Source organism: Homo sapiens, chromosome 2 (genome assembly GCF_000001405.40).
Source record: "Homo sapiens chromosome 2, GRCh38.p14 Primary Assembly".
In the NCBI taxonomy this organism is placed as follows: domain Eukaryota; kingdom Metazoa; phylum Chordata; class Mammalia; order Primates; family Hominidae; genus Homo; species Homo sapiens.
In genome coordinates, this window is record NC_000002.12 from 189,447,808 (window position 1) to 189,461,283 (window position 13,476).

Genomic DNA, 13,476 nt, shown 5'->3' on the forward strand with positions numbered 1-13,476 from the left:
TGTTGCATTTTTATCATGGACAATAAAAAGATCCTACTACCTATTGAGTATGTGATATGGTTTGGCTGTGTCCCCACCCAAATCTCATTTTGAATTGTAGCTCCCATAATTTCCACATGTGGGAGGGACCCAATTGGAGATAACTGAATCATGGGGGCAGTTTCCCCTATACTGTTCTTGTGGTAGTGAATAAGTCTCACGAGAGCTGATGGATTTATAAAGGGGAGCTCTCCTGCACAAGTTGTTTTTGCCTGCCACCATGTAAGACATGCCTTTTGCCTTCCACCATGATTGTGAAGCCTCCCCAGCCACGTGGAACTGTGAGTCCATTAAATTTCTTTCCTTTATAAATTTGAAGAGGGAGATGGTAAGGTTTTGAATGAGATATGTAAAGCACCTAGGTGCTAGGCTCCCACCTGTAATCTCAGCATTTTGGGAGGCCCAGGCAGGCGTATCACTTGAGGCCAGGAGTTCAAGACCACTGAAACAATGATGAAAAATGTCTTTTTCAGCAGTGTGAAAACAGGCTAATACAGTATGTAAAACTTACTTTTCTTTCTTTTTTTTCCAGGTATATCTTCTGTGTCTCTGGAGACTTTGTTAAAGTTTACAGCACAGTTACAGAAGAGTGTGTACACATACTGCATGGACACAGAAATCTGGTGACTGGAATCCAGCTTAACCCCAACAACCATCTACAGGTGTCAAACAGTTTATAGCTGAATACTTTAAGACTGGCTTTGTTCTTGACAGAAAAATTTGAGTTGAATTTGACTGAGAAACTTTCCAGGTTATAAGTAAAATATTTGCTTATTTTCAGTTGTAGGGTATTTTCCACTTGCTAAATTACATTGCCTATAGCATATTCTGTGAACCATTTGTTCCACAGAATGCTAAGAGGTATTACCTGAGAAGGATATTCTTGGCTGTATGAGTTTCTGAAATTCAGGGCTAGGCACAGTTAAATGTATTTGTTGATTGTAATCTTTTTAGGTTCCCTTACATGCATTGCGAATATCCAAAAGAGGTATGTAGTTTTTGGTGTTTCTCAAACTTACTTGACTTGTGAACCATTTGGTGTCTGGAACACATTTTGAAAAATGTTGGCCAGGAGGTATTGATTTGGTAGATATGTTCCTTTAGAAGTAAGGCTCTGGCTTACTCTAGATATTGCCTAGTCTTAAGACCAGTGTCTAGATAAGAAAATTTGTTTGGTGAGTGGGTCAACTAGTTAGTTTCAAGACAAATTTGGGAATTTAATTTAGTCCAGATTTTCCCACGTCCCCCACAAAGCAGCCCTTCTTTCTTAGTATTTAAGAATAATGAAATGGTCATGTTAATTCTGTTCTTAAGTTTCGGCAAATCTACTAAAATTTTATCTCAACAATATTTTGTTCTTGCTCTTATTTTTAATCCAATTCCATTTTCCTGGATTAGTCACAGCCAACTTGGAAGTTATTGATTAAGGATGGATTTGCATTGCCATTCACTTTTATTCCAAAGGAAATAAAGTAGCACCGATCTTTTCTTTCCAAAATTAAATGAGCTACTTCTAAAAATCAAAGTTAAGTAACTTTTCTACGGGATCCAAGTACATATTTTATGCTTGCCGTCCTCTGAGGGTTTGACAAAAGTTTATCGCTGTGTGTAGTGTTTGAATGTTTTTAATAGCAAAACTATTATTTTGTTAAAATTGAAATTTGTGAAGTCCATATACTAAGTTTTATAGCCAAAAAAACGTATACACAATTCATAAAAGCTTTGTTTCGGATGACTGAAAGTGAGTAAAATTAGAGAAGGGCAGTTTTATCAGATTTGGTTGAGGTGCAGGGGCAGCAGTTCTGGACTTAGGAGTCACAGTGTTTGTGTATTAACCATTGTTTTGACAGTAATTATATGTTTGACTTGTTACATTTTACTAGTCCATATTTATGATTCTCATATGCAGTAATTGTGATATAAATTTCCTAGTTTGTATAATTTTTTGACTTGGATAGATAATATGGTTTTACTCCAACATTTTTACATTCCTCTTCTCTGAGTCCATGTCTCTATTTGCAGAAATCCTAAAATTGCCACTTTCTTTAAAAATATTAAAATTCTTTGTAAACATTATAAGCAAAGTATTTTCCTATAACAACGACAACAAAATCTAGCAGAAACTTAGTATTAATAAAACTAAGTACACTGGGACAAAAGTAAGCCTATGTGTTAGTAAGGTCTTCTGGTGCTACCAAAGTATGGTCCACAGACCAGTGTCCTAAACCATTAGTTACCATTCTGTATAAGAGTACAGAATGTGAGTGTCACAAAACACTTTGACATTGCCTCAGCATCCAAGCATATTATAATTTCTATTGTATTTTATGAAAGTATTGGTCCTTGATGGATTGGAAGAAATTTTTTTAAGCAGAATATTCTTCAGTCACTTGAGAAGCACTCCCTTAATGCTCATATAAGGTAAAAGGAGTTTGGCTAATAAAACTGAGTAAGCTGAGTTCTGGCAGGAAGAGCAACAAGCTCTTGTGTGGGTGTTTTTGTTTTGTTTTGTTTGGTTTTGGTTTTTTTTTCTGGAGAGTCTCACTCTGTCTCCCAGGCTGGAGTACAGCGATGTGATTGATCTCAGCTCACTGCAACCTCAGCCTCCCAAGTAGCTAGGATTACAGGGATGTGCCACCACGCCTGGCTAATTTTTGTAGGGGTTTCGTCATGTTGGCCAGGCTGGTCTCGAACTCCTGGCCTCAAGTGATGCACCCACCTGGGCCTCCCAAAGTGCTGAGATTACAGGTGGCAGCCACTGCACCTTGGTGCTTTTCATATCTCATTCAAAACCTTACCATCTCCCTCTTCAAGACAGAAAGTTGGCTTTTTTCCTCTCTCTTTTAGTTAAAACTTGAAATGGATGGATCTGCTTCTTGCAGAAAGCTGTGAAAAGATTGTTTTGCAGAAGCAATATAAATAAATGACTCTACCTCTTTAAGGTTAACAGTGAATTAATGAATAGAAAATGCCCCTGATCAACATTTAATTATTCATTTGATATCTTGATGAATTTCTTTTTTTTAAATCAATTTTGTATTGTTTTACCCTTTTAGCTGTATTCTTGTTCCCTTGATGGCACAATTAAACTGTGGGACTATATAGATGGCATCTTAATAAAGGTATGTGGATTGATCTTTACTTTTCGTTATGTGAATAAAAAAAGGCAATGTAATTTAATGGTAGATGTACTGTTTCTATAAGGCCAAATATTTAAATAGACTTCCTAAACAAGTTACAAAATAACATCAAAAAAATTAATTTGACTATATAAAAATTTTCCACTTATAAAAGACAAGGTAAAGCTGGAAGAAGATATTTACAAAAGATATTATTCCAAATATACAAAAATCTTCCCAAAAACCAATAAGGAAAAACTAATAGCCTGGTAGAAGAAATTGGCATAAAGTAGGAATATGTAAATTCACAGAAAAGAAATACAAATAGTCAATAAATATGAAGAGATGCTTAAACTCATTAATAAAGAAATCTAAATTAAAACAAATGACACAATATTTCCCCTCATAAATTTAGCCAAATTGTAGATTGAAAAAAAATCTAGTGATAGGTAAAGTATGGAGAAACAGGCACTTTTTTACCCAATGAGAGTTAAAACTGAAAATCAATAAACACGTTTTGCTACAGCAGTCTCACCTCGGAATAATGGCCTGTACACAAAGTCCTTATAGCATTGTTTATGGTAGGAAAAAAGTTAAATATGACCTTGATGTCAGTTAAAATTATGATACATTCAGTACAATACCATTTCAGATCTATATGTAGGAAACTCGAAAGAGTATTTAACAAATATGTATTAGTTGTCTTCTGTAGGCCAGGTACTCTCCTTATGTTGGGAATACAGCAATGAGCAAAATACATAAAAACCCCTGCCTTGATGGATCTTATGTTCCACTGGAGGGAACAGACAGTAAACACTATGGTGCTCTTTATCTTTCAGACTTTCATAGTTGGATGTAAACTTCATGCCCTCTTTACTCTTGCCCAAGCTGAGGATTCTGTCTTTGTTATAGTGAATAAAGAAAAACCAGGTATGGTATAATTAACTTACTATATATGGCATTGAGTGGCTCTTTACATTTTACAGTTCCTCAAAATTTAACATTTTGGTTTTAATCTGAAGCCAACAGTTTTTAGAATGGGCATTTAAATTGCTTTTGTCATTATTGTGCTCATTTGGAGATGGTTTGTATGAATTCTGAAATATGCAGTGAGGGAGGGATTATTTTTTATGTGGTTGTAATAGTAGATTGCAGACCTCAAATTTTAAATCTGCTTTACAAAGGTGGATAGAATTTTGTCTTTCTACTGAACTTAAATCTGTTATTAAGCATCACTATCATTTATCTATCATTGAACACTTCTCACTTTCTTAAGTCAGGGTGGAAATGGCATAGAAAATTGGTTGATATTGGCCAGGCGCAGTGGCTCACGCCTGTAATCCCAGCACTATGGGAGGCCGAGGTGGGCAGATCACAAGGTCAGGAGATCTAGACCATCCTGGCTAACACGGTGAAACCCCGTCTCTACTAAACAAAATACAAAAAATTAGCCGGGTATGGTGGCAGGCACCTGTAGTCCCAGCTACTTGGGAGGCTGAGGCAGGAGAATGGCGTGAATCCAGAAGGTGGAGCTTGCAGTGAGCTGAGATGGCGCCACTGCACTCCAGCCTGGGTGAGACTCTGTCTCCAAAAAAAAAAAAAAAATTGGTTGATATTAAGAACCAATAATGTGACTAAGTTATTATTAATTACATTTTCACTGTCTTTAGAACATTGGTCCATTGAAACTGCTGTGCATCAGCATTTTAGGAATTCCTAGAATATTGTCAGTGATTAGAAATAATTGTCCCTTACCATAGAGTTTGATAAAACAGAACACTGACATGAGGACACATCTATAGAAATTTTCTGATCCCCACATTCAGGAATGCCACTGTATGCTATGGTGTCCTCCATAAAATACAGTTGTGTTCAGAATGAAGAATATGAAGCAGCTTTAAGATGATAGTGGGGCCGGGCATGATGGCTGACAACTGTAATCCCAGTGCTTTGGGAGGCCAGGGCAGGAGGATTGCTTGAGGTCAGGAGTTTGAGACCAGCCTAGGCAACATATACCATGGCCCTGTCTCTAAAAAGACAAAAAGAAAGAAAAGTAAGTTAGATGTGGTGGCTACAGTCCTAGCTACTCAGGAGGCTGAGGTGGGAGGATCACTAAACCACCTCCAAAGGACATTTCAAAAAATGTTCTGGAGATGGCAACGTTCTTAAAAATAATTAAGTCATCTTGCCAGATGACTGCTTCAAACATAGCACTCTTTTTGATATTTAAGTTCGGTTTCGTATGTTGAATACGTGGATTTCTGATAACAGTTCACATGTTTACGAAAAATTCAGGTTCCTAATCTTCCTGACAGGTGGTTGATCACTAGGTTTGGGATGTACTTTAGGAATCTGCATTTTTAATATCGTCCCAGGTGATTCTGCTCATCACTCGTATTTGGTAACAACTTCCTGTACTCACTCCATGATTCCTCACTTGGAAAAGTAGTTGCCAATAGCTGCTAGCAAAACTTTTTACCCATGATTCTAAACACTGACTACACATAAGAATCACATGAAGAACTTAATAAGATTCTGTGTGCTGGGGCCTAGTTTACTGAAAAATTTCTCAGTTGTGTCTAATATGCAAGACAGGATGGAAAACGACTGATCTAAAGTAAAGATCTTGTGTTGTAATCTAAATTCTTCTCATAATGAGATCTATTATTAATCTTCAGTACTTGGCATATAATGGGCACCCAGCATAAGAAAATCTGGATAGCTGCTACATAAAAATGTCAGTCAGGCTTGAAAAGATCCCCTGTGCTAGCTGGCTTGCTTACTGCACCACTGGCCTCTCATACTCAAATACAAAAACATATATTATACATATATGTGTACCCTTTTTGTGTTATCTATGTTCCACAGCCCAAAACCAGACTCTCTGATAGAAAATTGAATAAATCATGTTGCAGTTACTTCTCTGGTTTAAAAACAAATTAGCCTTTCATTTACGTGTTATTTTTGATGGTATTATTTCTTGACTATGTGTCATATAGTCATTCAACACCTAATTGAGCACCCACCGTGTGCTAAATACTGTTATGATTGCACAAAACAAAACACTTCTAAGTCCCAGTAGTAAACTGACTGGATTAGTTAATATGATACAGTAAGATGAAAGGTGGTCTAGAGAAAAATAAAGCAGGGGAGGGAAATGAGCAACATAGGAGGAGTAAATACTAAATGAGAGGAAGAAGGGCTGTGCAGCTGTGTTGGAGAAGGGAGGCCGGTGGAAGTGAGCCAGTGGAGAATAGATTATATTTAGCATCGTAGGCTATTGGAAGGACTTTTGCTTTTACTCTGAGTAAAAAGAATACCCTTAAGGAGATATTTTTTAAAGGGATATAAAGAGAAGAATGTGTCAGTATTACAGAAAAGGAGATTTTACCCTAATATTATGGCAGGCCCATCATAGCATTTCTGAAAACTCTCAGATGATTTGTTGCTTTTAGCTACTCAGCTGACCAACATTCATATTCTTTTTCCATTTTAAAACCCAGCTTAATACTTTGGAATGTAAAATGCACCAGTAAGATACAAGTTGATTTGTATTTCTTTTGTTTTTTTTTTTGAAACAGAGTCTTGCTCTGTCGCCCAGGCTGGAGTGCAGTGGCACAGTCTCGGCTCACTGCAACCTCCACCTCCCGGGTTCACGCCATTCTCCTGCCTCAGCCTCCCGAGTAGCTGGGACTACAGGCGCCCACCACCACGCCTGGCTAATTTTTTGTATTTTTTTAGTAGAGACAGGGTTTCACCGTGTTAGCCAGGATGGTCTCGATCTCCTGACCTTGTGATCCACCCGCCTCGGCCTCCCAGATTTGTATTTCTATATATTTGGGGCATTTATGTACATGAGTTATGGAATTAGACTTCCATTTAAAACTTGCTCATTCAAACAAAGAGTCCACCTTTAAGGTATGTTTTGTTCAAGATTAGCCTAGAATTATTATCTTGCATCAAATAAATTCTAGAGTACTGATTAGCAGTTTCATAGGGCCAGGCACAGTGCCTCACACCTATAATAGCAATTTGGGAGGCAAGATGGGTGGATCACTTGAGGTCAGGAGTTCGAGACCAGCCTGGCCAACATGGTGGAACCCCATCGCCACTAAAAATACAAAAATTAGCCAGGCTTGATGTCACATGCCTGTAGTCCCAGCTACTCAGGAGGCTGAGGCAAGAGAATTGCTTGAACCTGGGAGGCAGAGGTTGCAGTGAGCCGAGATCACGCCACTGCACTCCAGCCTGGGCGACAGAGCAAGACTTTGCCTCAAAAAAAAAAGAATAAATTCCTTACACATGTTTGCTCTCTCTAGAGAAGCTTTATATTAATATAGCTTTCTTTGGCTAGATATATTTCAGCTGGTTTCAGTGAAACTGCCAAAATCCTCAAGCCAGGAAGTAGAAGCCAAGGAGCTGTCCTTTGTTTTGGATTACATAAACCAGTCACCCAAGTGCATTGCCTTTGGAAACGAGGTAAATTTTGTTTTGTTCGTTTTCTGTTTTGTACCTAAAATTTCTTTCCTGCAATCTCTCTTCTGAGCATTTTATGTTACAGTGATTTTATATTCCCTTGAATTACTATATTTGTATTAGTAACTAAGAAGCCTCTTCATTGCTTTAGCATGTATTTATGGTATAGATTTTTTTAGGACTATCCTTATTTTTGTGTGTTCTGTCCTATTGCCTTTGTAAACTCTCTTAGACTATGTGTCTTTAGAAATTATGGCCTCCCATATGTTAATTAATTAATGTTTATAATTAATATGCCCATTATAGAAAATTTGGAAACTACAGAAAAATATAATGAGGAAATAAAACCTATAATCTCACCAGTGATAATTGAAGAATCTCTTTCTAGGCTTTTTTCTTAACATTCATAAAATAACTTTTCCCGAAAAGAATTAAGATCAGAAGTCTTTTCATCTTTTTTTTCACTTAACATTGCAGCATGTGTGTATACTAACATGTTTTTCATAAATTATAACTGATGTTTTTATACTGTGATTTCTTCAGCCATTCCCTGTTAACAGTTACTTTACTATTTTAAAATCAAATGCTATGAAAAGCCTCCGGACATCACTGTAGCGGCATGCTTCTTTAGTCTTAAGTTTTATAGCATTATTTTGGCATTATTCTGAAAAGAGTTAATTTCTCAGAGTAAACTTCTTTAACATCATTAATGTCAGCATTCTTCAGCATTGTTAGTCATCAAATAAATACTAATTAAAACCGTAGCAACATACCACTTTAGGTCCACTAGAATAGCTAATGTTGACAGGATATAGAGCAAAGTTAAATACATTTACCTAGCGATTCCATTCCTACATAAAGAGATGAAAACATAACCACAAAATGATGTGTACAAGAGTGATTATTCATAGTAGCTCCAAAATGTAAATTAACCCAAATATTCATCAGCAAGAGAATAAACAAATGTGATATGCATACAATGGAGTGCCGCTCAGCAATAAAAAGGAGCTAATGACACACATGAGAACGTAGATTAAATTCAAAAAGATGATGGATGATGTTGAGCCACAGAGGACAAGCAGAAAAGAGTGTATATTTTACCATTCCATGAATGTGAAATTCTACAACCGGCAGAGAAATAAGCTATGGTGATCGAAACAGATAGGTGGGATGGAAACATTGAGGAATGACTGTAAAGAGGGAGGAGGGGGCATTTCTGAGGAAGGAAATGTTCTAGATCCTGATTGTGGCAGTGGTTATATAGATGTACATGTATATCAAACATTGCATTTTAGTGTATATAAGTTATTCCTAATTCTAGTCATTGTACTTTAAGCTTGAGAGTCTAGTTTTAGGATTTAGGACCTAAGTTCATCTTTTAATTTTCTGTCATTGTTTCAATAGTATGATTATTCTTTCTATAGCCAAAGTGGAATATATCATATTAATATACTCTTATCAGCTGAACAAAGTTACTGTTAACTTTTGTGGGGGAGTGTTTCTTTTTAAACAGTGTTGGGCCGGGCGCAGTGGCTCACTCCTGTAATCCCAGCACTTTGGGAGGCCGAGGCAGGCGGATCACCTGAGGTCAGGAGTACGAGACCAGCCTGGCCAACATGGTGAAACCCATCTCTACTAGAAATACAAAAATTAGCCAGGCGTGGTGGTAGGTGCCTGTAATCCCAGCTACTTGGGAGGCTGAAGCAGGAGAATCACTTGAACTCGGGAGGCAGAGTTTGCAGTGAGCCGAGATCGCACCATCACATTCCAGCCTGGGGGACAAGAGCGAGACTTTGTCTCAAAAAAAAAAGAAAAAAAAAAGAGTGTTGACTATTTTTGTGAATGTTTATCTTCTTTTTGAAATACTAGGGAGTATATGTTGCTGCAGTACGGGAATTTTACTTGTCTGTTTATTTTTTCAAAAAGAAAACAACATCAAGGTAAGAATTATTTTTTATTAGCTTTATTTTATTTGCTCAAGAGTTCTTTATAATTTTATTTCTTCCTAATACCTATAGTCCAAAGCTATTCCTAGTTTTATGTTGCAAGAGAGTGTAAGACTGTGAAGTATGGAGGTACAGTTTTTAACCATACCGTATAGTTTTTAAGCATACTATTAGTCACCAAAACCTAGGAAGCTTTTTCCAGTCAAAAGCCCTATACACTGAATTCTAGTCTGCATTCTTGGAGTCAAAGTTGGATGTAGTTTGACAGGGTTTCACCACATGATTCTCATTGTCATTTTATGAATGTAGGAATGAATGTAGGCTTTGACATATGTAAGTTTTAATTGGATCAGATTTAGTCTATTTGATCCCCACTGCACCTCAATTTAAAACATATTTAAAATAGAGATAATATCTACCTAACAGAGTTGTACTGATGAATGAGGTGACGTATTTAGAGCAGCTAGTGCTAAGTATTGAATAGTTAACTATTTGAAAATAATAACTACCTCTTCCCTTTTACCCTGCCAAGATTGCTTTTTTTTTTTTTTTTTTTGAGATGGAGTCTTGCTCTGTCGCCCAGGCTGGTGCAATGGTGTGTTCTCGGCTCACTGTAACCTCCGCCTCCCGGGTTCAAGTGATTGTCCCGTCTCAGCCTCCTGAGTAGCTGGGACTATAGGCGTCTGCCACCAGGCTGGCAAATTTTTGTATTTTTAGTAGAGACGGGGTTTCACCATATTGGTCAGGCTGGTCTTGAATTCCTGACCTCAGGTGATCCACCCGCCTCAGCCTCCGAAAGTGCTGGGATTACAGGCGTGAGCCACTGTGCCCGGCCAATTGCTTTCTTTTTAGTATAATATTGATCCTGACTTCTTCAGAGCCTGAAGATTGACAAGTATTCAGCCAAAGAATAGGAAATAGGCTAGATATTATAACAAGTAGATTGATCCCTTTGGATTTGTCCTTTCAGATGCATTAGCCATTTGTCTCAGATCTAATGTCTCAGGTTTGATTATGCCTCATGCTAAGATGTAGGTTCAATGAGAAATTTGAACAAGCTTTGACCAGGCCAAAAAAAAATCACTAAAATCTTTACTTAAATGTCAGTGGCTTCCATAGATAAATTATTATGGTAGAATATTAGTTACATGAAGTTCATGTTGTATATTGATATATGTTTACAAAATAGAATGCTTGATTCTTGATCAAAATTTTCTTTTTAAAAAAAATCCTGCAGTTATATTTATTGAATTCTGAGCTCTACAATTTTGGTTGCTATTGCTGGGAACTCTCTTTTACTTAACTACATCACCACTTATCAAGAGACTTTAATAATTAAGGGAATTTGTTTTTTTTTTCTCCTAGGTTTACTTTATCATCATCAAGAAATAAGAAGCATGCTAAAAACAATTTTACATGTGTAGCATGTCACCCAACGGAAGACTGCATCGCATCTGGTCACATGGATGGCAAAATTCGTCTTTGGTCAGTTTGCTCATGAAGAGCATGGCGATCATTTATGTACTATTTTACGTTAGTCCTGTAGAACAGGGCTATCTCTGGGTCCCAAGAAACAGCCTCCCTTTCCTTTTTTGTGTGCTTTTCATTTCATACTTACTGTTTTAGAATTTCTAGCCTTGGACTTATAAAGTGAGTGAAACATTTTTTGTTGCCTGTAATCATTTTATTGAAGAAAACTTTTTGTTTGCCTTTCTCCAAAAAGGAAAGACTGACAATAGTGAATATCTAGGAGGGTACCACAGATGGCATATTATTTATAGAAGTCAGTCACTCTGGTTAGAAATAGAAAATGTGCACATTAAGACCAGAAGCCTTTATATTATGATTTAGTATGTTTGGTATATATTATGTTTATTGTATTTGGCATGCCATTGTTTTCCTAACTTAAACCTATGGTCAAAATAAGAGTTTTATCTTTCTCCAATAGGAGGAATTTTTATGATGATAAGAAATATACGTACACATGTTTACATTGGCACCATGATATGGTTATGGATTTGGCTTTTTCAGTGACAGGTAAGTGCGGGTTTAATTATTAAAATGAACTTTTGAAGATATGATTCAAGTGTTTTAATTCACTGTATTTTTAGTTTGGAAGATTTAAAACTGCATGAGCCAAATGAATTCCAAACACTTGTGTGTTACCCCTGTATTTTGGGCTTTGCTCAGCACAATATGCTTTAGGTTTTGAAGCCCTTCAAAGTTCTAAAGTGTACATTTGTGATAAAAATCTCTGTTGTTTACATAAATAACCTATTTAAATTATATGACTTTTTGAAGGTATATCTGTCTACATAACTAAGTGTGTGTGGTCCATAACTGTAGCTTATCAGGTGCAAGTAACTATTCTAACACTACATCCATTATCTGATTTAATCATTGGCCGTAGGAAATGAGTGGCATTATACTCATTTTACAGATAAAGGAAGTAGGATTTGGAGTTGATAATTAACTTGCCTAACATGACATGGTGGGTAGGTGGGTTTGGACCTGGTTCTGATTTTAGAGCTCTTGTTTTTAACTGTTACATGGCCTTATTTGACATTAGCTATTTTAAATTAATCTCCATCATTGTTTCATTTAAGCTGCATGACTTCTGTCACAGCTTTGTGTAGTGTAGCTATAGCGAGTAAAAATACCTTTAAAGTAAAGTGGTCTTCAACAGAAATACAGGGAAGTACATCTTGTCTTTGTTTACTTTTAGCATCCTCACACCCATGTGGTGAGAGTTATGTCAGTTTATTTGACTGGTTCTTTAAGAAAGTTACTACATACTAGAGAAGATTGTGTGCCTAAAAAATGAGAAGCCAGGAAAAGTGATTTTTCTTTCTGCAGGTCTTCCTGGAGACTGACAGGACAAGTCTTAGATGGTACCATATGCTGTGGTATCCTTAGAGTCTTACTTGGGTGTAATGCCCGGAAGCCCCAGGAAATAGGAGACACCTTCAACCCGATTATGGTTTGGGGAGTAATGACTAGTGTATGGAGACAATGTAGGCTGCTCATTTGTATTCTCTACCCTCCTTCCCACTCCACACCCTCAAAATACTAGTGAGTGCTTGGTATCCATATGTATGTGTCTGTATATGTTCCAGGCAGGGGTTTTTTTTTTTTTAGACAAGGTCTCACTTTGTTACCCAAGCTGGAGTGCAGTGGCACCATCTTGGCTCACTGCAACCTCGACTTCCTGGGCTCAAATGGTCCTCCCACCTCAGCCCCCTAAGTAGCTGGGACTACAGGCACGCACCACCACGCCCAGCTAATTATTTGTATTTTTTGTAGAGATGGGGTTTCACCGTGTTGCCAGGCTGGTCTCAAACTCCTGACCTCAGGCGATCCCCCCAGCCTCCACCTCCCAAAGTGCTGGGATTACAGGCGTGAGCTACCGTGCCCGGCCATTATTTGAATTCTTGATATTATATTTCAAGTAGCATGAATATTTTTAAATGAGAAATAATGGTTACAGTACATAGTTGTCAGTGAAATGTCCTTACTGACTGTGTGGGTATGAGTTATTAGAAAAAGAAAAAATAGCTGCGTAAATATAAAAGAAATACAGATTTTAGTTGTTTTTGAGAACTTCATAACTTGAGGCATATATGAACTATATGCACAATGTATCATATATGTGTATATATCAGATTAAACTTCTTAATTTTGTTTGTGTACATCACAACTACATACCTTTAGTCTTCTGTTTAGCTAGATTTTATCAGCTTGCAGCTTTAGAAAATTTGATAAAAACCCCATTATAAACCAGTGATCTTTAAAACCAGTTGTTTTAGATTCATGAAAGAATGAAAAATGGTTATTTGATGGAATACTTTTGAGAAAACAGTCTGAAACAGTGTCCTATTTATCCATTTAGTCATTAA

General features: G+C 37.0%; 1 protein-coding gene across 2 annotated transcripts in view; it reads left to right on the top strand.

The window, feature by feature from the left end:
• WDR75 (WD repeat domain 75) overlaps nt 1–13,476 on the top strand; it is a 34,079-nt gene that overhangs the window by 6,334 nt on the left and 14,269 nt on the right. The window contains exons 2-9 of one of the 2 annotated variants that reach the window (NM_001303096.2): nt 572–701; nt 994–1,027; nt 3,096–3,161; nt 3,998–4,088; nt 7,513–7,637; nt 9,504–9,574; nt 10,946–11,065; nt 11,529–11,617. In NM_001303096.2, the coding sequence (NP_001290025.1) occupies nt 1,004–1,027; nt 3,096–3,161; nt 3,998–4,088; nt 7,513–7,637; nt 9,504–9,574; nt 10,946–11,065; nt 11,529–11,617 (586 nt within the window). In that variant the 5' untranslated portion in view covers nt 572–701; nt 994–1,003. The remainder of the gene's footprint in view (nt 1–571; nt 702–993; nt 1,028–3,095; nt 3,162–3,997; nt 4,089–7,512; nt 7,638–9,503; nt 9,575–10,945; nt 11,066–11,528; nt 11,618–13,476) is intronic. The other variant, NM_032168.3, reaches the window with a different exon arrangement.